This window comes from Homo sapiens, chromosome 12 (assembly GCF_000001405.40).
Source record: "Homo sapiens chromosome 12, GRCh38.p14 Primary Assembly".
Taxonomy (NCBI): Eukaryota; Metazoa; Chordata; class Mammalia; order Primates; family Hominidae; genus Homo; species Homo sapiens.
In genome coordinates this window covers 12190903-12217826 of record NC_000012.12, presented here as the reverse complement: position 1 = coordinate 12217826, position 26924 = coordinate 12190903, and the positions used below count along the sequence as shown (strand labels likewise).

At 37.2% G+C, this 26924-nt stretch overlaps 1 protein-coding gene and 1 pseudogene across 16 annotated transcripts in view, besides 2 other annotated features; both read left to right on the top strand.

Moving 5' to 3' along the window:
- LRP6 (LDL receptor related protein 6) overlaps nt 1-26924 on the top strand; it is a 151020-nt gene that overhangs the window by 49218 nt on the left and 74878 nt on the right. For 14 of the 16 annotated variants that reach the window (NR_182264.1, XR_002957325.2, NM_002336.3 and 11 more), the window contains one exon: nt 14427-14624. The exons of 1 other annotated variant lie outside the window; for it this stretch is intronic. Coding sequence is in view for 12 of the 15 variants with exons in the window: in NM_002336.3 (NP_002327.2) it covers nt 14427-14624 (198 nt within the window). In the remaining 3 variants the exon portion in view is untranslated. Of the gene's footprint in view, nt 1-14426; nt 14625-15421; nt 16031-26924 lie in introns of those variants that run through there. One more of the 16 variants, XM_047428844.1, reaches the window with a different exon arrangement.
- Nucleotides 1741-2240: an enhancer, noted in NCBI's record as "H3K4me1 hESC enhancer chr12:12368521-12369020 (GRCh37/hg19 assembly coordinates)". NCBI's record gives its function as "activates a minimal SCP1, AML or CMV promoter by ChIP-STARR-seq in naive H9 embryonic stem cells {active_cell/tissue: H9 hESC(naive)}" and the evidence as "EXISTENCE:reporter gene assay evidence [ECO:0000049][PMID:30033119]".
- On the top strand, nt 16961-18930 carry MORF4L1P2 (mortality factor 4 like 1 pseudogene 2; annotated as a pseudogene).
- Nucleotides 26578-26872: a silencer, noted in NCBI's record as "tiled region #15090; HepG2 Repressive non-DNase unmatched - State 15:Elon, and K562 Repressive non-DNase unmatched - State 6:EnhF". NCBI's record gives its function as "represses a minimal TATA promoter and a strong SV40 promoter by Sharpr-MPRA in HepG2 and K562 cells {active_cell/tissue: HepG2 | K562}" and the evidence as "EXISTENCE:reporter gene assay evidence [ECO:0000049][PMID:27701403]".

Genomic DNA, 26924 nt, shown 5'->3' with positions numbered 1-26924 from the left:
TATCCAGTTATCCCAGCACTATTTGTTGAACAGACTGTTTTTCCCCACTGAACTGTCTTCACATCCTCATTGAAAGTCAATCGACCATAAATATAAGGGTTTATTTTTGGATTTTCATTTCTTTTAAATTTATCTAGATGTCTGTCCTTATGCTAGTATCACACTGTCTTGATTACTGTGGCTTTGTAGTATGTTTAGCAATAGGGAAATCTGAGTCCCTATAGCTTTTAAAGCTAAGAGTGTCTCGTAAAGCAGTGGTCCCTTACCTTTTTGGCACCAGGGACTGGTTTTGTGGAAGACAGTTTTTCCACGGACTGGGCTGGAGGGATGGTTTCAGTATGACTTAAGCACATTACCTTTATTGTGTACCTTATTTCTATTATTATTACATTGTGATGTATAATGAAATAATTATATAACTCACCATAATGTAGAATCAGTAGGAGCCCTGAGTTTTTTTCCTGCAACTAGATGGTCTTATCTAGGGGTGATGGGAAACAGTGACAGATCATAAGGCATTAGATTCTAATAAGGAGCACGCAACCTAGATCCCTTGCAATGCGCAGTTCACAATAGGGTTTATGCTCTTATGAGAATCTAATACCTCCACTGATCTGACAGAGGCGGAGCTCAGGCAGTAATATGAACGATAGGGAGCGGCTATAAATACAGATGAAGCTTTGCTCACTTGCCTGTTGCTCACCTCCTGCTGTGTGACCTGGTTCCTAAAAGGCCATGAACTGGTAGTGGTCTCTGGCTTGGAGGTTGGGGACCCCAGTTATAAAGGATTTGTGTTTACATGATACTGTATTTTATGAAAGGCAGTCTGGTAGCAATAGGCAGGATACTAGAGCCGTGAGAAATGAGGAACCAAAAGCAGAGAAACAAATTAGAAAGGCTCTTATATGTCATGCTAAGAAGTTTGGGATTCATGCTGAAAGTAAGGAAATTACATAATCCCAGATTGCAGGGGCAGGGGGAGGGAGGGGGAGGGTGTGTGGGAGGGGATGTGGTGGTAATATAATCATTAATTTCAGAGTATTCTGGAAAATGGCCTTAAGGGTAGGGGATGGGAAGTCTGGAAAGAGGCTGTTTGGATTATCCGTTAGTTTTATTGGGGCTTGAGAAAACAACCTTTAACAAAGCTTTTCTTTTCTTTTTTTTTTTTTTTAAATTTTAAGTACAGAGAGAAGACCACATCCAAGAAAACCCTATAACAAAATATCAGAATTTGTGAACAACTGTCATTCTACCTAACGGTTGCAGAAACTAAAAATCCTGAGTCATTCTAGGCCCCCACCTCCTCACTCCTCACATTTAATCAGTTACCAATTCTTGTTTATTCTGCCTTCTAAGTAGCTCTTGGATTTGTCTTCTCTTCTCAAATACTATTTACATTGTTTTCAGGCCCTCATATTTTTCAGCTGAATAAAAAGTATAATTGGCTATATTATTATCATTTTTTAAAACCTCAAATTTAAATCATTATAAAACAATGTTGCATTATGGCCATTGTGGGTAACAAAGTCACTTTGAAATGTGCTGGAAGATCCAGGACATTCAGAAATCTAATAGCTTTTGGCTTATGATAGATAGAGGGGTCTCCAAATCTTTCTGTCTTCTCCCTGTTTGTGTGTGTCTGTGGGTGGATTTAATTAAGACAGAAGAAAGTGAAGTAAAAGTCTGTTGCAGCGAATTAGGACCAGAGGAGAGGTATAGAAGACCATAACCGCTTTGAAGATTTTGAAAAAGATGAAGCAATTAGGCAGATACATTAGTCTATCACACAAATAGATCATTATTATTATTATTTTTTGAGGCAGTTTCCCTCTTGTCGCCCAGGCTAGAGTGCAGTGGCCCCATCTTGGCTCACTGCAACCTCTGCCTTGTGGGTTCAAGTGATTCTCCTGCTTCAACTTCCCAAGTAGCTGGGATTACAGGTGCTCGCCACCATGCCTGGCTAATTTTTGTATTTTTAGTAGAGACGGGGTTTCACCATGTTAGCCAGGCTGGTCTCGAACTCCTGACCTCAGGTGATCCTCCCACCTTGGCTTCCCAAAGTGTTGGGATTACAGGCATGAGCCACCACGCCTGGCCACAAATAGATTCTTAAAAGAAAACTCTGATCTTTAATACCTGAAAACACTGTCTACTGAAATCTTAAATCTTAGTCCTTGGCCAGGCACGGTGGCTCACGCCTGTAATCCCAGCACTTTGGGAGGCCGAGGCGGGCGGATCACCTGAGGTCAGAAGTTTGAGACCAGCCTGGCCAACATGTGAGGCTGAGGCAGGAGGATTGTTTGAACTCGGGAGGCAGAGGTTGCAGTGAGCCGAGATCGCGCTATTGCACTCCAGTTTGGGCAACAAGAGTGAAACTCCGTCTCAAAATGAAATAAAATAAAATAAAATAATCTTAGTCCTTACTGATTAAGGCCATTAGTAATAGTAAACAACAGTACTGTTTTTATCAGACTATTTTTATTATTTTTTTTCATTATTTCTGCACAGTTTGCTGTCCCCTCAAATCTCAGGGATCAGTGGGAGAACCTGTGATATTTATTTCCCTGTGATGTCCTTCCCTCCTCAAACTTTTCCTTATTAGGAAGTGTTTGTAAAAATGTTAACTTTATGTTTATTTGTAAGGATGTCAGAAACTGCAAATAAAAATGAGTTACCAAAACACCAGGGGTTTGGTCTAGGTCATGCTGCTCACTGCAGAGAAAGCCAGTGACTGAGACAACAAGTATTGCCATGGGTGCTGCAGCCAGGAAGATGAGAACTCAGTCTCAAACCATCTCCCTGAGTGACTAAAACGAAGGGTTCATATAGCAGGGAAGAAATGTAAAAGAAACAGGAACTAAGGCGGGCCAAGGAAGCAATCATGATGAATGAGTTGTCTAGCATCTTATTGTCTGTCTGAATGTGGTGATCTGGTGAGTTTCAGTTATTTGATACTTTGAGCAGCCTGAAGGTCATTTCCTGAGGAAGGAACTCAGGTAAAACAAATGTAAGATTCAAGCTTTAAGACCAGAAGGGTCAACTTCTATGTTTATCCAAAACCTATCTAGGGAACTAATGGGTTGGTTTCAAATGGAGAAAACGCATTCCATATTCCCCCAACCAGGAAAACTATTTTTTCTATGCTTGCTTACAGAAATAGGCTCTGATAGTTAAAGGAAAAAGAAAGTTCTCACATGACTTAGAAATTTCAAATAAATGCAACCAAAAGATTAGTCTTAGCATATTTTACAAATCAGATCATGAATTTTAAGCTTTTGCCTTTTAAGAATTAAGCTTATGTATTTATTTTGCAGGAATGTGTTTATGATGATTAAAGACTTCAGGTTCTTACTATATAACATAGTTGATTTATGAGATATCTGAAGAATGGGTTTTTAGTAAGCTGACTGGGCCTTTGAATGGCACATTGTATTCACCTGTTATGAAAAGGAAGCTTATCTTTACTGGTAAGGGGGTGTTAGGTTTAACATAAAGGAAGTATTTGTATCCAGTGCTTGTAAATATTAACTGAGATGTTTTATTAAAGAATAAAGGAAAATTTCCTTTTTCTTGTTGAGTAAATGCTATTTTGTCCTAAATTTTCTCTTGTAATATACCTGCATCCAATAAATATTCTTTTACTTATGACATATTTTTGAAAATGTGTTTTGAGAGTGGGGTGCTGCTTGGCTTCTTGGTTGGTTACTGTTATAAAATAGGTATTAGCAGGGAGTTTAGATGACTAAAAGACCCCATGGGGTGGGTAATGGTAAAAGTCTAAGAGAAGATGATAAATATGAAGAACTGTCCTGCAACCAGATCAGAGCAGAAGGGTCAAAGCCAGTAGGAAAGACACTTTTCTTTTATATAAAGTGTCTTACTTTAATCCTTACATCAACTAGTGAAGTATTCACTTTGCAGATGAAAATTAAAACTATGGTCACATGATTATCCAAGACTGGTATTAATAGAGCTAATGTTAAATCTATGAGACATTATTGGTGTAAAAAATAGATATTAAACAAGTAGATTAGGAAAATACTGTACGTTACAATTTGTAACGTGATAAAAGGAGTGGGAATCAAGAGGGAAGGGACGTCATACTAGAAGAATTTACCGTTAGGAAAGAAAAAATCAGTTTATATCAGTATCTCATGTCATACTTCAGATACATTTTAGATGGATAAAAATTTTTAAGTGAAAACTTAAACATCAAATGAAAACGTGAATGTTTAATCTTTGAAGAGAGAAGGGCTTTTTAAGCATGAAAGCAATGAAAGAAATTGCAAAGAAAAATACTGATTCAACCAAATTTTGATTCAAGCAAAAAAAGACAAAGAAAAATATTTGTAACAGATATATTAATAATAGAGTTAGCCTTGATATATAAAAAGTGCATACAAATTAATAAGAAAAATGTTTAATCCCCAATAGCTAAACTGAAAAAAATAGTAAATGTTTTTCCTACTTTGTCTCTAAAAGGATTTAAGATGTTTTAGGAAGATATAAAAAAGTGATGCAAAATAAATAAATGTATTAATTTTATAAAATAAAATTTTAAAATTGAGATGGAAATATAAGAGTATACATGTAAGATGAGACCAGGAGTGAAAATATACATACCAAAACATATGTCATTAATTCCCATATACTTCCACACACATTTGATTTTAAGCCAGATTCCTTAGGGAAGAAAGTATCAGGTATGAGTTAATGTCCTTTAGATAAAAGCTGTTCACTGAAAAAAATATTTACTCCAGATGATGAAACCAGTTTCTTCCCATTAGTCCTCTAAAGAAGCTGCTATATGATATAATGAAAAATATATTCAACAATATCTTTATAATATCCACAGTGACACATTTCTTTGGCATTTGTCCCTGCGGCATCTGGGCAAAGTGCAATTCAGTTAAAGCAGGTGAGGTGAGCTGGATAAGTTCTAATTCTCAAGACCAAGAATTCTCAAGGTCAAGGACAAAATTTTCCTCAGAAACTAATTTTGATGTATTTATTAGAAAGGTAGTTGAAGTTCTCATAGAGCATGACTGAAATAAATTTACCTTAAAAAAAATAAAATTCTCTCTATGAGACCATTTAATGAAAAAGTCAGTGAAGCATATATAGCTTCCAGATTTGAGTGACAGGATATTCTAGTATACCTTCTGAGACAAACTAGTTGCAAAATATATAAAGAGACTGATTATATAGAATCATGAATAAACCAGTGAAACTATAAGTTTTGCTATGGAAATCTGTATGGTGGGGACACAAAGGACAGAGTATTCACTTTTACTTGGCAGGGGGGCGGTGGGGATGCACTATTTTAGGGTGGTGCTTGTTAGCCGAGCAGTTGTTGGCTAGAGGGACAAGGTGTGGAAGTGGGTAATAATTTTTAGTCAGTAGAAATATTATGTGACAGGCTCTCTTCATGCTTTTGTGCATTCAAAGAAAAGCAGCTCATAACTGGAGCATAGTAGAATAATGTAATCATTAAAATAAAATTTTACCTGTATTTTTCAAGGATACGGCCTTGGTAATAAGACAGATACAAGAGGTCTCACGAGCAGGTGAGTGCAGACCATTATTAAATATTTGAGTGCTGACTGTGTACTTGGCATTATGCTAGATTGTTTTAGGATAGGGGATACAACAAAAAATAAAACAAAGTCCTTGTTTTCAAGGACCTGGAATCTAGAGTGGTGAAAACATATGAGTAAACAGTCCTAATACTGTATTTGAAATGTACAGAGATGTAGTTTGTACCTGGAGCATAGTATCAGAATAACGTGCAGGAGCACAGAGGAGAGTATGCTTGAAGGGGGCATTCCTGACAGTTAATATTTCATTTTTATTAAACTTAGAGGCGCTCAAAATGCATCACCTTTGATTCTTTGGAAAGAGGAATGACGTATAACAGCAATTTTGAAAAATTACTAGAGTTAGCATTTTCTTTGATGATAGTTGGGAATTAAATTGATGTAATCTGTTACCCGCTTTCAGGTTATAATCTTTATCTTCTAGTAGTGGTTTACCAATGTTATTTCTGAATTAAATATATTCTTTGCATTATGTCCACTAACTTTTTAAAAGTAATCGACTAGACTGGGTGCTTAAGGCTGTTCATGAGGTTCTTATTTTCTCCAGGGCAACCAGTTTATACATTCAGAATTTCATGATGATGCATACTGTCACAAGCAAGTAATTAGGTAGAATTATTATCCCTATTGAGGGACAGGTAAAAACATGGGATGACAAAGCCATCCCTACTCTGGATACGGAAGGAAAAACAGTGAGGTTAGGATGCTTCAGTTCGTCCGTATTTGAACTCATCATCTTACCGTCCCAAACCATGTCTATCTAATTCCATTCCAGACTCTCTTTTTTTGAGACGGAGTGTTGCTCTGTCACCCAGACTGGAGTGCAGTGGCACGATCTCGGCTCATTGCAACCTCCACCTCCCAGGTTCAAGTGATTCTCCTGCCTCAGCCTCCCAAGTAGCTGTGATTACAGGTGCCCACCACCACGCCTAACTAATTTTTGTATTTTTAGTCAAGTTGGGGTTTGGGGTTTCACCATGTTGGCCGGGCTGGTCTCAAACTGCTGACATCATTAGCCGCCCATCTTGGCCTCCCAAAGTGCCGGGATTACAGGTGTGAACCACTGCACCCAGCCCAGACTCTTTTATCTGGTTACTGTATATTCTCTGTAAAAACAACCACAGAAACCAACCTGCTAACATGAATGCTTTCACTATCCTCTTTTATTAATTTCTACTTGTTTTTAAAATATGATACCAACACATGATCAAGTAGAGGGGAAGTGCAGAAGTAGGTCCGATTTCTTCACAATTCTTTTTTTCTTTTCACTTCTATTAGGAAGCAGAAATCCGTAAATTCTTCAAACTCCTCTTCACTTAAAGCCTAATCTACTAACCGGAGTAAGAGAGGAACATGGGGTCAGGAATCAAGTTCAGGGGTTAGTAACAGGAAGGGTGTGAATTTTACACAACACTTTTCTTTTTCACATTAAAATCAGAACTATTTTCACTGGCTGCATTTTCAATTTGATAATGATGTATGTGATTTTTGAAGTTTCCCCCAAAATAAATTTGATGGCAACAAAATGTTTTTGAGGACCTGTGGCTTTTTATAGGTCCTTTCAGAGTTACTTACATGTGTCACATTAATGTTCTTAGAATTAGCATGGCTCAACACTTCTGGATTGACTTAGTTTCATATGCAACTCGTAATTGTGATTTATTTTGCCCTGTTACTGTAGACCAACTTCTTTGACTGTTAATATGCTTTTTACTTTATTTACCTTTTCTAACCAACTTTCACTTATTTTTACACTGATTTTCCTGTTATTCTATTGACTGGTGGTCTGGATACAGAAGGAAAAACAATGAGGTGAGGATGCTTCAATTCATCCATATTTGAACTCATCATCTTGCTCTCCCAAACCACATCTAATTCCATATTATGTTGAATGACACCAATACACACACATTCACATTTGTAAATCTTGGGAGCCATCCTAGTCTATCCTTTCTCATTCCTCTTTCATATTGATCCAGTCCTCAACTTCTGTTGCCTTCATTAGTTCTTATTTGGAATATTTCAGTTTTCTGGCTTTTTCTTGTTTCTTCTTCCTCTAGCCAGTCCCTCAATGTTATTGTCACTGGAGTCCAAGTTTCTTAGTATAGTAAAATAATACACGTGGGATTTCTTTCATTGTCAATGTACCTCACGATATGCTACAGCTCTATGGATCTTCTTGCTGTTTATTGAATATATCATGACTTCATATGCTATGTCCTCTTCCTGGAACACTATTTCCCATTTTGGCAACTGCCTAAGTAAAATACATACTTTCTCTGGTATATTTTATTGACAACTCTTACATTCATTGACTTGATTGGGTGTCACTTCTCTATACTCTCAGAGCCTCCTGTTTATACCTTCCTCAATATACTTGCCACTCCTTGTCTACATTGCGAATTTCGTAAGGGCAATAGTTTTGCCTTGCTTATTTTCATATTCCCTGTATCAGGCATGGTGCTTAGCTCCTAATAGGTGCTCACCGCTTTAATAGGTGTTCAAAACCTTAAGAAAATTGAATAATATATTGGTAACTTAAAAAATACTTTTTAAAAATTTTCTGTGTCCTAATCGCTTTTTCGGTTACATTTGTAATGAGCTTTTTAATTTAAAAGTTAATGAAAATGTTTAGTATTTATAGATGAAATCTATTCCTTTATATTTTAAATATTTGCACAAATGAAGGCACATCTGTAATCTATTTAAAAATGCTAATTTTCGTCAAGTTCTCATCTGACAAATGCCTTAGTTTCACTTATTGTAGTTGGAATCTTTATCTGGGTCTTATCCTTGAAAAAACATGACTTGATTTATTTTTTAGGGTTGAATAATGAAGGGATTATCCATTAGCTTTGGTACATAGTGGCATGCAAATACTTTTATTCATTACTAAAATCTTGTTAGGTTGACTCACTCATTTGTAACATTTTATTTCACCATAAACTAGACACTGAGTTACAAAGTTAAATGCTTAGATTAGTTACAGTTAGGAAACCTACCTAAATTATATTGTACAAGAAAGACAATAGCCCTTATTGCATTTTCTGTCTTTATAGTGTGCAAATTGCTTCTGGTCAGCCCAGCCTGTGATGGCAACATTTCAAACTTTGTATCACGTAATCTCAAGTAATGCATGTTGCACACACGGCGCAGAGTATAGATTAGTAGATATTGCAGTGAGAGTAACTTCTTATTTCTCTACACTTGTTTGTTTAAAGATACTGGTAGTTTTCATTTTATGCATTAATAGAGAAAAGATGGGAGGTGGCTAATGAAGTGTGCTGTGGACTTGTTTTTAACTGTATTACTCTATCAAGATGGAAATATCAATTGATTTGTGTATTAAAGATATCCTGAGGAGAAATCTAGTTCATATATTATAATAGACATAGGCACACAAAACCATTTCACTGTTTCTGGCTGTCCCTATGCTTAGGTTATTAACCTTTTGTACTTCTTTCTCTTCTTGTAGCATCTCATGTGTCTTCCTTTACCCATTTCAGTGTGCACTGAGTTGGGGGTTAGAGGAGAAATTGAAAATGGAAAGCACAAGGTCTGGATTCATCTTTATTTAAAAAAGAATACGTGCAATGTGCCAGTCATTGTGATGTGGTAGTGACACCTAGTCTTTACCTTTGAGTTCTTTATAGTTTATCTACAAACTCTGATAAGTACTATAGTATATAACAAAACCTGCCAAGAGCTCAGAAGAGGGAATAACTTTGCCTTAGTAAGCTGGGAAAGGTTTCTAAGAAAAGTTACCTTTGAATTAACTTCTTGAAATAGTTTATGTTTCTTATTCACGTTTTAAGCAACTTTACTGAGTTAGAATTTACATGCAAAAAATTCATATTTTTTTGTTGATTGTTAAATGGGCTTTGATAAATACACCTAAGACAAACGTTCATTACTCTACTCCAGAAGGTGCCTTAAGCCCCTTTACAGTCAATCCCTTACTCCTCCCCAGTAACTGTGAATCTGGTTTTATCATCATAGATTAGTCTTTTTGATTTTACATCTATAGCTTCATATAATGGGATCACGTAGTAGGTACTCTTTTATGTGTGGTTTCTTTTGTTCAACATAATTTTAAAAAGTCATCCTTGACATTGATAAGTAGTTCTTTTATGTTGCTGAATAGTATTCCATTGTATGAATATATTATATTGACTGGATTCTGGATTCTGACCGCTCCCTGGGCTTGTTGCCATTGTTGTGTGTTTTTGTTTAATGACTTTCCTGGATTACTTCTGTGGTCTGTTTTCCTTTTAAAATATTTCTTATGCCTGGCTTTCTGGGGGATTGCCTCTGTGTCACTGTTATCTTAGTGGTCAGCTAATGATTGCTTAAAGGTTGTTCCTGAACACCAGCAAGTTAGTGTTACCCCATTTTCCTGTGGACCTGTTTATGGTTTGGAGAATGTCTTAAAATTTTAGGCAATTTCAAATTTGACCCATGTTCAGCCAGAGACTAGCTTGCAAGTGTTCTTTCTGGTGTAGCGTTACACATGCAGACAGCCTTCCTGACTACTAAGCATGAATATCCACTTAAGGCTCTTCTTGGCAGTCTTTTTCCTAGGATCTTCCTGTTAGATTTCTGGCTAGTTTGCTATTTTGTTGCTTGCCCCCACCAGAGTCAGTTAGATAATGGCCCTCGTGATGCCTGCCACTGAAAGCGTTATTATTATTAATATTATTATTATTATTTTTTTGACGGAATCTCAAAAGTGCGGTGGTGCAATCTTGGCTCACTGCATCCTCTGCCTCCCAGGTTCAGGCGATTCCCCTGCCTCAGCCTCCCCTGCCTCAGCCTCCTGAGTAGCTGGGACTACAGGTGCACACCATCATGCCCAGCTAATTTTTTGTGTTTTTAATAGAGACAGGGTTTTTACCATGTTGGCCAGGATGGTCTTGACCTCTTGACCTTGGGATCTCCCTGCCTTGGCCTCCCAAAGTGCCGGGATTACAGGCATGAGCCACTGCGCCCAGTCCACTCTTGTTTTTAACAACATTCCTGGGTACAGATTTTTCCATGCCTCGTTCCAAATAAGGTCAGTCCCCTCTTGCAGGGAAAGGTAGCTACCACTCTTTATGGCCTGCCATGTTTGCCCACAGTAGAATGTTTATGCCACAAACCTGGCAGTATAGATGGGGATAGGAATAGCCCCTAGCTAAAATACCACAGTTCTTATTGAGATGCGGTGTATTTTTCTGGAATAAATGCTTCTCATTTTGTTGTATGACCTTTGGTCAGTTTTTGGAGGCTTTGGTGGTTAGATTTGACCTTGTTTTTTTTTTTAATTGCTTAAGGGAGAGAATTTGCTGAACTCACAGAGCCTATTGGAAGACCTGGCCTCAGGATTTTTTTTAGTTTTCCTCTAGTTTTTTCCCAAACCGCAGGCATTTTTTTCTCCCTCCTGAAAACACAAAGCCAGTCATTTCACCTCCAATTTTATTTTATTATTATTTTTTCATTTTAAAAAATAGAGACAGCATCTTGCTGTGTTGCTCAGGCTGTTCTTGAACTCCTGGACTCAGACAGTCCTCCTGCCTTGGCCTGCCAAAGTGCTAGGATTACAGCATGAGTCACCGTACCTGGCCATCACCTTTAATTTTAAAAGTCTTAAAGTGCCTTTGTGTTGTTCTCAGAATAAAAATGAAAAATTCTTTTTTTTTTTTTTTTTTGAGATGGAGTCTCGCTCTGTTGCCCAGGCTGGAATGCAGTGGCGCTATCTCCGCTCACTGCAAGCTCCGCGTCCCGGGTTCACGCCATTCTCCTGCCTCAGCCTCCCGAGTAGCTGGGACTATAGGCATCTGCCACCACGCCTGGCTAATTTTTTTGTATTTTTAATAGAGACAGGGTTTCACCGTGTTAGCCAGGATGGTCTCAATCTCCTGACCTCGTGATCTGCCCGCCTCGGCCTCCCAAAGTGCTAGGATTACAGGCGTGAGCCACCGCACCTGGCCAAAATGAAAAATTGTAACATGGTCTGGTCTACCTTCCTATATATAGTCATGTGTCGCTTAACAGTAGGGACATGTTCTGAGAAATGTTGAGTGATTTCATCATTGTGTGAACATAGTGTGTTACACAAACCTAGATGGTACAGCCTGCTATACACCTGGGCTATATAAGATAGCTTATTGCTGCTAGGCTACGAACCTGTACAGCATGCTACGATACTGAATGTGGTGGCAGTCATAACACCATGGTAAGTATTTGTGTATCTAAACATAGAAAAGGTATAGTGACAATACAGTATTGTAGTTTTATAGGACCACCATTTTATACATAGTCTGTTGTTGACCACATTGTTACACAGCTCATGGCCACAGTTTTATCCTGTATTAATCTTGTCCATACCGCTCATTCTGGGTAGTGTTTGACTGTTGTCCCCAATCTAGGGAGCATTTTGCTTTCTCTTCTTTAAAAATCAAGGCTCTGACCCATGACATACACATAGACTTCAGAATTTAAGAGATGTAGGTTTGAATTTCTGTTCTTCATTTATTAGCAATGTGACTTTGAGTGATGTGCTTACATTTCTCAGTTTTCTCATCAAAATGTGGTGATGAACAAATAATATTTTGTAGGGTTGCTTAAGGCTTAAGTAAGATAATGTATGTGAAGCCATTAGCACAGTGCCTTGTATCTAGAAGGTGTATTTATTCCCCTACATGATATTCTCCTCATCATTTCTTTGAGTAAGCAGTTCATATGAAATAGTGGAGACATCAGTATGCATTAAGTAGATTCATTTCAGTATTACCATTCCACCGATTATTTGAGTAAAACTTATACCTGAATTTCATTTGGGTTTCAACACATTTATTAAGTGCCTGATCTGTTTCATAGCACCCTCATTACCTCTTTTTTTTTTTTTTTTTTTTTTTTTTTGTTTGTTTGAGACAGAGTCTTATTCTGTTGCCCAGGCTGGAGTGCAGTGGCACACAATCTCAGCTCACTGAGGCAACATCCGCCTCCTGGATTCAAGCGATTCTCTTGCCTCAGCCTCCTGAGTAGCTGGGGTTACATGCACCTGACTGATTTTTGTAGTTTTAGTAGAGATGGGGTTTCACCATGTTGGACAGGCTGGTCTTGAACTCCTGACCTGAAGTGATCCACCCACCTCGGCCTCCCAAAGTGCTAGGATTACAAGTGTGAGCCACCACTCCTGGCTCCTCATTAACTTTTGAAAATATGCTTTTAAGAGAAGTATAATACATTAAAGAGTTTTTCTATTTTTTTTTCTTTTTTTCTTTTTTGAGACGGAGTCTTGTTGTCCAGGCTAGAGTGCAATGGTGTGATCTCGGCTCACTGCACCCTCCGCCTCCCAGGTTCAAGCGATTCTCCTGCCTCAGCCTCCCGAGTAGCTGGGATAACAGGCACCCACCACCACTCCTGGCTAACTTTTTTTTTTTTTTTGTATTTTTAGTAGAGATGGGGTTTCACCATGTTGGCCAGGCTGGTCTTGAACTCCTGACCTCAGGTGATCCGCCTGCCTCAGCCTCCCAAAGTGCTGGGATTACAGGTGCCTCGACCTCCCAAAGTGCTGGGATTACAGGCATGAGCCACCGTGCCCAGCCCAAGAGAGTTTTTCTTTTACATCAAAGAAAAATTTCTTTTTCTGTAATGAGACTTTTAGACTTCTCATTTTTTATTTTGAAAAGTCTTCAAACTTGTGGAATAGAAGCAAAAGTAGTATAGCAAACCCCTCTGTATCCTAACTACAATACAATTAGCATATTTAGGAAATTAACATTAGTACAGTACTATGCAATTTGACACTACATCAGTTTTGCCTTTTCTCCCCAGTGATCATAGCATTTTTTTCTTCCTACTTCATCAGTCCAAGATCATACACTTGATGTAGTTATCATATCTCTTTGCTCTCCTCCAGTCTAGATTGGTTCCTGACCCCCCCCTCCTTTTTTTTTTTTTTTTTTTGACTTTTATGACATTGATATTGTCAAAGACCAACTGTTTTGTAGTGTCTCTCGACTTGAATCACACTGTTTCCTCATAATTTTATTTGGGGTATGCATTTTTTGGGGGCAGGAATAATATGCAAGAGAGACCGTATAAAAGACACTATGTTCTGTAAAGGTATATCACATGAAGAGGTATATAATGCCAGTTTGTTCCCTTATTGGTGATGTTAATTTAGATGACTCAGTTAAGGTGGTATCCACTGGGTTTATTTTCTCTAAAGTTATCACTTTCTTCTTTGTTGTTAATAAGTAATCTGTGGGGAGATACATTGAAATGGTGTAAATATCCTTTTTACCAATACATTTTGATTCAGTGGTTTTTGAATCCTTGATGATAGTTGTTTGAATCAGGTATTACCAGGGCAGTTGCAAATGGTAGATATTAGAATTTCAAAATACAATTTCTAAGAGTTTTAGTGTCCCTAAAATGAGGTGTTTTTTTGTTTTGTTTGTTTGTTTGTTTGTTTTTGAGACAGAGACTTGCTCTGTTGCCAGGCTGGAGTGCAGTAGCACAATCTCAGCTTACTGCAACCTCCGCCTCTCGGGTTCAAGCGATTCTCCTGCCTCAGCCTCCTGAGTAGCCAGGACTACAGGCACACACCACCACCATGCCCAGCTAATTTTTGTATTTTTAGTGGAGATGGGTTTTTACCATGTTGGCCAGGATGGTCTCGATCTCTTGACTTCGTCATTTGCCTGCCTCAGCCTCCCAGAGTGCTGGGATTACAAGTGTGAGCCACTGCGCGCGGCCTGAGCTTTCTTTAATAGTAATAATTACAGAGTATTTGATTGATATCTGCTCTGTCATGGCTTTAATTATTTTTATGATTTTTAGGTTCATGTACTGGACAGACTGGGGAGAAGTGCCAAAGATAGAACGTGCTGGAATGGATGGTTCAAGTCGCTTCATTATAATAAACAGTGAAATTTACTGGCCAAATGGACTGACTTTGGATTATGAAGAACAAAAGCTTTATTGGGCAGATGCAAAACTTAATTTCATCCACAAATCAAATCTGGATGGAACAAATCGGTAAGATTACAAGAATTAGAAAAAACTTTTAAGAAAACTCGATGAAGCCTTGATACATTACAAAGCCTAATTTTATTAAGAAATATGTTTATTTTTGACTAAGTGCCAGAGGGGAAGAAGAATAGTCTTTTAGTTAGCTCTTTAAAAGTGCTTTAAAAGTAATTACATTTATCATCCATCTTGATAGCATTTAGAATTTACAGACTGTATTTCCTCTTTCCTTACTCTGAGCTAACTTAGTTCTTCAGTGGTTCTCCACCAGGGGTAGCATCTTTACTGCCTTTGTTTGGAAATGTGTAGAGAATTTTGTTTAACCCAAGGACTGGGAGTGCTACTAGTATTTTAGTTCCGGTGGTGGAGGGGAGGTCCAAGGTTGCTAAACATCCTGCAGTGTGCTGGGCATCAGTACAACAAAGAGTGTCCCACTCAAAATTACCAGTAAAGCCCCAAGTCCTGCTAATGGAACTTTGATAAAACTCTACACTAGGACGGGGTTTGGCCAAGATTTTCTGTAAAGGCTCAGATAGTAAATATTTTAGGCTTATGATCTCCGGTTCAACTACTTCTGCTACTGTAGTTTAAAAGCAGCTATAGTAATGCATAAGGGAATAGGCATGACTGTTGCAGCAAAACTTTATTTATTTATTTACGTATTTATTTTAGACAGAGTCTCACCTTGTCATCCGGGCTGGAATGCAGTAGCGTGATCTCAGCTCACTGCAACCTCTGTCTCCTGGGCTCAAGCGATCTTCCTGCCTCAGCCTTCCGAGTAGCTGGGACTATAGGCACACGCCATCACACCGGGCTAATTTTTGTCATTTTTGTAAAGATGGCGTCTCACCATGTTGCCCAGGCTGGTCTTATGCCCTGAGCTCCAAGTGATTCACCGGCCTCGGCCTCCGAAAGTGCTAGAATTACAGGCATCAGCCATAGCACCTGGTGTAAAACTTTATTTGTAAAGCAGAATGAGCCTGTGGGCTGTAGTTTGCTCATCTCTGGACAAGGAGAAAACCTACTGCATATACCATACATTTCAGTGTTCAAGGAAGACAAAGTCTGTAAAACATAAACATGGAATTTCTTCTCAGATTATGTTCAGATTTTTAAAGACATTTTATATTTGGATTCTTGTGTTTTAATGATAATTTTGGTTTTTGATCTCAATCTGAGACCTCACCAGATGAGAGTTTTTGGTGACTGTAGGATTTTTTCAAAGTATAATAAACATTTGTCAATTACCTGAACTAAGAATAAGGAACATTTAGAAGTATTGAAAACCAGGAAAGATATAAAGAATTCAGTTAAACTTTTTGTAATCATGGAGTTGGAGTATTTTTTGCCTTCTTTCAAAAAAGAGTGAAATGACATATAACAATGTGGTTTTAAGTAAATTTAAATGTCAAAAAGTAAGTATATGATGAATATAGAAACAACTGCTGTTTTTGACCTCAAATCTGGCTGTGAGGGGGAGTCTAGGAAGATGGATGTGGCCATGTCATAGTTTTTTTGTTTTTGTTTTTAACTAAAACCTACAGAAACTAGATAGCAAATCCAAAAACATGGATAAAGTTGACTATAGCCTTAGTCATTTGAAAGCACAACTAGATAAGGGCAAACCACCAACAGCCACAAGACCTCCATGTTATCACTGTCTATGCGAGAGTAAGCAGGGAGATTTAACAGGGTGTCTCATAAGACTTGAAAGCAGGGGAACGCCAAAATAGCCACAGCTATTTGCTGGACAAGATGGTGGGTTATTTTAAGAACAGCAGCTGAAATAGGAGGGTGGGAGGGTTGCCCACTCCAATATTAGGCAAGTGCAGTGTGACTATGGTAAAGACAGAAGAAGCTAGAGCAGTCTAGCCCCAACGAACTCTCAAAATGGAACTACTGAAATGAACCTGCCAGAGTGCTCATCCAGGACAGAGCACCACACTGATTAAAACAAAATTGAATAGGATAGAATAATCCAAATTGAGCAGGATAGGGACAATAGAATAGAGTAAAACAGGAGGGGAAGGAAAGAGAAGGTTCAGATAAAGATGGGAAGATCAACGGCTAGTAGATCTCAGAAAGCAAGCTACTAGGTTTTTGAACATTATGTGAAAACAACAGAGGAATGAATTCTGTGACGTTAGAAAAACTACCTTGAACTCTACATTATTTTAAAAGTTCAGGAACACTAATTTTACGTAGACAAGAGAAACAGAAAAGTATCAAGGTAAAATCCCATTTAAAGTTATTATAAAGGAAAAAACAAAAGCTCTTATAAATAAAAGCACCCCAGAAAAACATGACCACAGAACAGATCAAATCTCTATTATAAAATGAGCTGGAGAAGGAGGAGGCTGCGAATCACTTATAAATGACGTGGAAGCAGGACTCAAACCCTAAGTTCCAGGAGGGTGAGCAAGTGCTGTGCTTTCATGGGCTGCTTCTTTATGAAGCAAAATGTGTAAAGGTTGCCATAAAGGACAAACAAGTAAAATACTTTATATATTACAGTGGTTGGAATAAAAATTGGGATGCATGGGTTCCAGAGAGCAGAGTACTCAAATACGTGGACACCAATTTGCAGAAACAACTTCAAAAAGCCCATCAGGAGCAGTATGCAGAGGGGAAGATGAGAGGGGCTGCCCCAAGAAAGAAGACATCTGGTCTGCAACAGAAAATGTTGAAGTGAAAACAAAAAAGAACAAACAGAAAATACCTGGAAATGGAGATGGTGGCAGTACCAGTGAGATGCCTCAGCCTCCTTGGAAGAAAAGGGCCCCCGGGTAGATCCTACTCTTGAAAATGAGGACACATTCATGAACAGAGTTGAAGCTAAAAAGTGAAGATTCCTGAAGAGCTGAAACCATGGCTTGTTGATGACTGGGACTTAATTACCAGACAAAAACATCTCTTTTTTCTTTCTGCCAGGAAGAATGTGGATTCCATTCTCCAGGATTATGCAAATTGCAAAAAATCTCGTGGAAACACAGATAATGAGTATGCTGTTAATGAAGTTGTGGCAGGGATAGAAGAATACTTCAATGTGATGTTGGGCACCCAGCTACTCTGCAAGTTTGACAGACCACAGTATGCTGAAATTCTTGCAGATCACCCTCATGCACTCATGTCCAAGGTTTATGGAGCACCACATCTACTGATGTACAAATTGGAGCAATGTTGGCCTATATACCTCTGGATGAGAAGAGCCTTGTGTTTTTTTTTTTTTTTTTTTTTTTTTTTTTTTGAGATGGAGTCTCGCTCTGTTGCCCAAGTGGGAGTGCAGTGGCATGATCTCAAGCTCACTGCAACCTCTGCCTCCCGGGTTCAAGCGATTCTCCTGACTCAGCCTTCTGAGTAGCTGGGATTACAGGTGCGCACCACCACGCCCATCTAGTTTTTACATTTTTAGTAGAGGCGGGATTTCACCATGTTGGTCAGGCTGGTCTCGAACTCCTTACCTCGTGATCCGCCCGCCTCAGCCTCCCAAAGTGCTGGAATTACAGGCATGAGCCACCGTGCCTGGCCGAGCCTTGTTTTATTACTGAATTATCTTCACAGTTCCCTAAAGTACCTGGCAAAGAATTCTGCAACATTTTTTAGTGCCCAGCAATTATGAATGGCTCCTCCAGAGAACCATCAGAAAGCTGTCTGAGAGACGCTCTCACTCACTTATGTTTGGATCTCTGTAAACACATTTTTGTTCTTAGTCTTTCTTTTGTACAAATGATGCACTTTGAAGATGTTATTGTACAACAATTGATGTTTTCCTGTTTAATTTTAAACAGAGAAAATAAAAGGAGTAATAGCTCCTTTTTTCCTATCTTACCTTTTTTTTCACTTCAAAGTTCCTGCCAGTGTATTCAACAATGGACAACAGAGACACATGCTATAGAGTGTTTTATTGCCTAGTTGACAGAGCTGCTTTTGAATGCTGGTGGTCCTGTTCCTTTGACCCTACGTACTTTTATAATATGTGTTCATGCTATATGACAAAATGCTGTGATTCCTAGTGCCAAAGGTTCAATTCAGTGTATATAACTGAACACACTCATCCATTTGTGCTCCTTTTTTTTTTTTAAATGGTGCTTAAATAGCCCATTCTTTGCAAGTCATCCATGTTGTTCCTTTGGCATTTAACTTTGCTCAAATTGTTGAAGAATGGTGGCTTGTTGCATGGTTTTTGTATTTGTGTCTAGTGCACATTTTAACATGGTAGATGAGATGCATTGTGTAGCTAGTTTTCTGGAAAAGTCAATCTTTTAGGAATTATTTTTCAAATCTTCAATAAATTTTTTCTTTAAATTTTAAATAAATAAATGAGTCAAAAGTCATTGAGGAACCAATATGACATGTGAAAGGATAACATAAGATTAGAAAAATTCAGAAATGACTCACGCCTATAATCCCAGCACTTTGGAAGGCCAAGGCAGGCGGGTCACCTGAGGTCAGGAGTTCGAGACCAGCCTTGCCAACATGGTGAAACCCCGTCTCTACTAAAAATACAAAAATTTGCTGGACGTGGTGATGCACGCCTGTAATCACAACTACTCGGGAGGCTGAGGCAGTAGAATCGCTTGAATCCGGGAGGCAGAGGTTGCAGTGAGCCAAGATTGTGCCATTGCACTCCAACCTGGGTGACGAGCAAAACTCTGTCTCAAAAAAAAAAAAAAAAAAAAAAGAGAAAAATTCAGAAATGAAATGATAGAACTTAAGAAAGAATTTAAAAAATCACTTCAGAAAAGAAAACTAGAAGGGACACTAGGTTGAATAAACCAAAAAACCTTTAAATAGAGGTTGAAAAGGAGGAAAAATTTAAAGACCAAAAAGAAATACAGAAAGACAAAAGATGATTTGAGAGAAAATGATAAATACTGAAGATAGGCAAAGAAGAAACAACATACAGATAATAAGACTCTTTGGAAAGAAAAGCAAAGCAAGGGAATAGAACAACTATGAACAACTATAGAAAAAGTTTCTTACAAGAAGATTTGTGACTGGGCATGGTGGCTCATGCCTATAATCCCAGTACTTTGGGAGGCCAAGGTGGGTGGATCGCCTGAAGTCAGGAGTGAGACCATCCTGGCCAACATGGTGAAACCCTGCCTCTACAAAAAATACAAAAATTAGCCGAGCATGGTGGTGGGCGCTTGTAATCCCAGCTACTCAGGGGGCTAAGGCAGGAGAATTGCTTGAATTTTGCAGAGGTTGCAGAATCTGTTCACTGCAACCTCTGCCTCTTGGGCACAAGCTATCCTCCCACCTTGAGCCTCCCAAGTAGCTGGGACTACAGGTGCACACCACCACACCTGACTAATTTTTTGTATTTTTAGTAGAGACGGGATTTCATCATGTTGCCCAGCTGGTCTTGAACTCTTGGACTCAAGTGATCCACCTGTCTCGGCCTACCAAAGTGTTGGGATTACAGGTGGGAGCCACCATGCCTGGCCATAAATTTAATTCTTATAGTAACTACATTGTTGTGGTCATAATTAATATTGTTATTCTGAAACTTTATATTGTTGCATCAAGTAAGTGAGTATTAGGACATATATTGCTCCTGCATATGCTAGATTCTTAATGGGCAAGAGAGGAAGTATAGATGTAATACTGCAGAGGTTAAGTCAAACTGATTATTCCATATTTTAATGGAAAGTTACTTACTAGTATGCGCTTATTAGGTATTTTATCTTTCAAAAATATATGTACCCAACTGTGTTTGTTTGTTTCCTGACTGTGAACACTGAAGAGGACTAGATCAAAAATGACCAATTGAGTAGCAATTGAACATTTACAGTGCTGTGTGCAGTGAACTTCTGTAGCACCCAAATTGTGGTGTTGGGAAAAACCATTCCACCTTAAAAGAAACCAAGCCTTTCTGGCAAAATTGCTGATTCTAGGTTTTGGGCAAGAAATGTACATGCTGAGCTGGAACATTGTCATAACAGTTAGTAAGGAGGCTGTTAAAGACTATTTAGGGTCATTTCAGAAAGACTGGAGAAATGACTGTAGAATTCCCACTGGCCAGAGATCGGTAGAAACCTGTGAAGTGTGTTTAAATTCTTGAGTTCATAATGGTATTTTAAAAAGGAATTGGTTACTCTTAGATTAGAGCATGATAGGAACAAATTTATTACCTTGAACATTGGTAAATACAAGAAAGAAGCAATTTATCCTGCTTTTCCTATGTGAGTGTACCTCTGGCTAACAAAATAGTAGATATGGGAGAGCTATTTCAATTGATAAATGAAAAAGAAATGGCAGAATTGCAATACCACCATTTTATAACTTTGGTGAACGAATGGGTCTAGGTGGTGAGCGTCGATGGCTACTAACATCACAAGAAGAAAAAGAACAGACATTATTTGCCTTCTGGTGTAAGAACACACTACTGCCTACTATTTTGTCAAAGGGATCAATTCATCATGAGTCTGGTCAAGGCTGTATATCAGCTGGCCATTTGTAGGAAATACAGAGGACAGAGAAACATTGAACTGCACCATGAGAGTACATCAGCAGATCTGGACATATAAATGAAATATCTTAGGTACTTTAACGGAGAGATTGTAAGGAAGAGACAGACAGGAAAAGAGACTTGAACGCTCTACCAAAAAAAAAAAAATTCTTAGAACTGATCAACAAATTTGGTAAAGTTGCAGGATACAAAATCAACACAAAAAGATCAGTAGCATTTCTATACACAAACAACAAACTAGCTGAAAAAGAAATTAAGAAGGCAGTGTCATTTACAATAGCTATAAGAAATTAATAAAATACCTAGGAATAAATTTAACCAAGGAAGTGAAAGACCTCTTCAGATAAAGCTGCAAAACACTGATGAAAGAAATTGAAGAGGGATACATACAAATGGAAAAACATTTCATGCTCATGGATTGGAATAATTATTATAGTTAAAATGACCGTACTACCCAAAGCAACCTGCAGATTCAGTGGAGTCCCTATTAAAATACCAATGACATTCTGCACAGAAATAGAAAAAAAAAAAAATCCTAAAATTTGTATGGGACCATAAAAGACCCTGAATAGCCAAAGCAATCCTGAGCAAAAAGAACAAAGCTGGAGACATCATACTAACAGACTTCAAAATATACCACAAAGTTGTAGTAACCAAAACAGCATGGTACTGGCATAAAAACAGAAACATACACCGATGGAACAGAATAGAAAACCCAGAAATTAATCCATGCATCTATAGCCAATTGCTTTTTGACAAAAGTGCCAAGAACATAGATTGGGGAAAGGATAGTCTTTTCAATAAATGATGCTGGGGAAACTGGATATCCACATGTGGAAGAATGAAACTAGAAACCCACCTCTCACCTTATACAAAAATCAACTCAAAATGGATCAAAGACCTAAGGGTAAGACTTGAAACTATAAAACTGCTAGAGGAAACCATAGAGGAAATGCTTCAGGACATTGGTCTGGGAAAGGATTTTATGGATAAGATCTCAAAAATGCAGGCAACAAAAGCAAAAAATACCAGATGCATTATATCAAACTAAAAAGCTTCTACAGAGCAAAGGAAACAACACAGTGAAAAGACGACCTACAGAATGAGGGAAAATATTTGCAAATTACTCATCTGACATGGGATTAATATCCAGAATATACAGGGAACTCAAACAGTTCAACAGCAAAAAACCAGTTTGGTTAAAAAATGGGGAAATGATCCGAATAGACATGTATCAAAAGAAGGCATATAAATGGCCACAAACATATGAAAAAATGCTCAACATCACAAATCATCCAGGAAATGCAAATTAAATTCACAATGAAGTATCATCTCACCCTAGTTACCATATGGCTATTACCAAAAAGACAAAAAATAATACGGTCAAGAATGCACAGAAAAGGGAACTCTTATACACTGTTGGTGGGAGTATAAACTAGTACAGCCGCTATGGAGAACAGTATGGAAGTTCCTCAAAAAATTACAAATAGAACTACCATATGATCCAGTAGTCCCACTACTTGGCATTTACCCAAAGGAAAGGAAATCAGTGTATCGAGACATCTGCACCCCTATGTTTGTTGCAGCACTATTTACAGTAGCCAAGATGTGGTATCAACCTAGGTGTCCAACATCAGATGAATAGATAAAGAAAATGTGGTATATATACACAATGGAATACCATTTAGCCATAAAAAGAATGAAATCCTGTCATTCTCAGCAATATGGATAGACCTGGAGGATGTTATCTTAAGTGACATAGGACCAGGAACAGAAAATTAAACCATGCATGTTCTCACTCGTATGTGGAAGGTAAATGTTGATCTTGCAAAAGTAAAGAGTAGAATAGGGGATACTAGAGGCTGGGAAGGAAGAGATAAGAAGAGATTTGCTAAAAAATACAGAATTACAGTTAGAAAAAGCTTGAGTATTCTATACCACTGTAGGATGACTGTACTTAATAGGTAAAACATTATATAATTTCAAAGAGGATACTGAATGTTTCCAACACAGAAATGTTAAATGTTTGAGATTATGGATATGCTGATTACCCTGAGCTGATCACGGTACCTTATATATATTGCAACATTGCTGTGTACCCCACAAATATGTGTAATTATTATGTACCAGTTAAACATTTTTTAAAACAGAGACTTTAAAAGAAATAGCAAATGAAAATGGGGCTTAAGACTAAACTATTTTTCTGTGGATGCACACTTACAAAAAGCAATAAAACTATAAAGGCAAGAAAGTGACTAATAGAAAATCAGAATAATTGTTACTTCTATGGAGAGGGAGGGATTGGGACAGGGTTCATGCAGGGCCTTTTGAAGTCGTCTGGGTGATTCACCCAGATCAAGTTTTTTTCCTTCATCTGAGTGAATTCGTGGTTACAAGAGTGTTTGCCTTATAGTAACTTGTTAAGCTATATGTTTGTTTTGTATGTTTTTCTCTGTATTGGCTTTATTTTTTAAAAAAGATTAAAAATAGTCTTGAGCATGATATTACCTGTAGGTTTTTTTAATAAAGGGATTTTATCAGGTTGAGGAAGTTCCTTTCTATTCCTAGTTCATGGACAGATTTACCATGAATAATTACTGGATTTTGTCCGTTCCTTTTTCTGCATCTATGGAAATGATTATGTGGTTTTATTCTTTATTTTATGAACATGGTGAATTTCAGTAATTGGTTTTCAGTTGTTAAACCGATCTTGCATTTCTGGGGTAAGTTCTACTTGGTCGTGGTTTATACTTCTTTTGAAATGTTGTTAGATTTGGTTTGCTAATATTCTGTTGAGGATTTTTATGTCTTTAATAGTGAAGGATATTAATCCGTAGTCTGTTTTTCTTGTGTTTATTTGGTTTTGAGATTAGCATAATATCAGCCTCATAGAGTCGGAAGATATTTCCTCTTTCTTTGTTTTCTGGAAAAGTGTGTGACCAGTTGATACAACTTTTCCTGCCATCTGGGCATGGGGATTTCTTTTTGGGAAGATATTAATTACAAATTCAATTTCCTTGTTTGTTGTAGATCTATCAGATTTTCTGTTTCTTCTTGAGTCAGTTTTAGTAATTTGGTTTTTTTCCAGGAATATTTTTGTTTCATAAATTTGTCTAATTTGTTGGCATAAAGTTGTTTATGGTATTGCCTAATAATCCTTTTAATTTCTGTAAGGCAGTGTTTCTCTTTCATTCATCACTTTATTCACAGTTTTCACAATTTGCGTCTTTTTTTTTGGGTCAGTCTAGCACTAAAGGGTTGTCAATTTTGTGGGTCTTTTCAAAGAACAACCAGCTTCTGGTTTTATTGATTTTTCCCCCTTTATTGTTTTTCTGTTTTCTGTTTCATTGCCTTTTTTTTTTTTAACCCTAATGTTTTTATTTTCTTCCTTACACTTGCTTTGGATTTAATCTACTCTTCTTACAGTTTCTTAAGGTCAAATCATAAATAATTGATTTGTAATCTCTCTTCTTTTCTAGTATAGGCATTAGTATTCTATATACGTTTCCATATTTTGTATTTTCATTTTCTTTTAGCTCAAAATATTTAAAAACTTTTATTGTAATTTCTTCCTCGACTCATTGCTGATTTAGAGGAAATTGAGAAAGAAATTTCAAAAATTTAGAAAATAATTTGATTTCCCAAATTTTCTTCCGTTGATTTCTTCATGAATTTCATTATGGTCAGATAGTAGTCTATTTTATATGAGTTCAGTCTTTTTATTTTATATGAGTTCAGTCTTTTAAGATTAATTCTGTCTCCTAGCATGTGGTGTCCTGGAGAAAGTTCCACGTGTACGTGAAAAGATTGTGTATTCTTTTGTTGCATGGAATGTTCTATAGATAGTAGGTTAAGTTGGTTAATAATGTTCAAATTTTCTATATCCTTGGTAATTTTCTATCTAGTTGTTCTTTCCTTTAGTGAGAATAGGGTGTTGAGCTCTCCAACTATATTATTGAACTGCCCATTTTTCCTTTGATTTCTGTCAGGTTTTGCTTCATTTGTTCTGGGGCTCTGTTTTTAGGTACCTGTATGTTTCTAATTGTAACTTCCTGATGACTCTTTCTCATAAAACCTGCCACTGTATCTCTAGTTACCTTTTTATACTTAAAATCTTTTTTGTCTGATAGAGCTGCTCCAGCTCTCTTATGGTTACTGTCTACTGTAACCTTTTCTTTTCAATCTATTTGTATCTTTGAATGTAAAATGTGCTTTTATAAACAGCATATAGTGTAACCTTTGCTTTATTCAGTCTAACAGCCTTTGCCTTTTGATTGGTGTGTTTATTCACATTGAATGTCATTAATGATATGGTTGGGCTTATGTCTGACATTTTAGTGTTTTTTTTTTTTTAAATTATCTTATGTCATCTTTGTTCCTTTGTCCTTTGTATTAAGTAGATATTTTCTGGTGTGTCATTTTGATTCCTTGGTTGATAATTTTAAACTGTATTTTGGGGATTTTAAAGGTAATTATTTTAGGGATTGCAACGTGCATTTTGTCAAAATCTACTTTGTGGTAATATTAACTTAATTATGAAAAGTACATACATTTTACTCTAAGTATATCTCCATTCTCTCTCCCATCCTTTCTGCTATTATTGTCATTTATAGTTCATTTCTATTATATCTAACACAGGGTTATACTTATTGCTTTATACAATCTTATGTCTGTTAAAAAGGTTAAAGGAAAAAGAGAAAACATTATTTATAGAGTCTTTTTTATTAACCTGCATATTTACTATTTCTGGTATTCTTCATTTTTCCTGAGGGTTCAAGTTACCATCTGGAGTCATTTCCTTGTTCCAGTATAGTTCTGTTCTCTTCCTTGTCCTTTGTCCTTCAAATATTTTATTTTTTGAAAATATTTTTTTCTATTATGTAATATTTCTTCCTTTTCATTTTTTTCTTTATGTATTATGTTTATTCATTCTTATTTCGTAGACTTCATTTCTGAAATGATGTATTTTTGTATTTCTCATTCTTTCAAGTTCTGTCCCCTCACTTGTGAGTTGTCTGATTCTAATTTGTGTTGTTCATTTATGACTAGTATCTTACTTTAAATACTTTGACTGTTTTGAAATAAGTTATCAGTTTAATTTGTTCTATTTCTATATCTTTCTGGCATACTTTTTTATTGTCTGTAGGAATGTTATTCTTCACTTTATCCTTTTCTTATTTTTAATATTAACTTATTAATGGGATTTGATGTTAGTAATTTGTTTTCTTATTTTCAGGTGAAACTGTTTTGCTTGAACATTCAGAAGAAGGCAGAGTTCATAAGTTCTCCAGTTTCACAGAACTCTCATGTCTATGTATATGTGTTTAAAAAATAATGGCAGCTAGCTTTCTGGATTTCCTGGCTCTCCCACTTTACTTTTTCTGCTTTTTTCTGTACCTTATTTTCCCATTGTTCTCCTGTACCAATCATGCACACTTTTCAGTCCGCTCCCAGTGATTTCTCTTCAGTATGACGCTTTGTCTGGAAGGGAGCCCGGGAAGGACAATTTTGAGAGTTCACAATAGGTTAAAGTATAGTGCTAGACCTTTCAGTGCCTGACGATGAATTCATTGTATTCACTTACTCTTGAAGTGGCCAGAACACCTCATAGCTGGTTGCTGTTCTCAGATTGGTCTACTAAGCTTTCCAATGTTGTCTGTTTTATGTGTTCTGTCCTGCCAGATGTCCTATTGTTTCTTTCTCATATCCTGCAGAGGTGCCAATATCAGTCATATCTTAATGGCTGTTGGTAGTTTTCTCTACCATTTTGTATCTTGGGTTTTACCTAGCTTTGTTGTGAATGTTGTCCATGGGATTTGGGGTTCATTACCTAG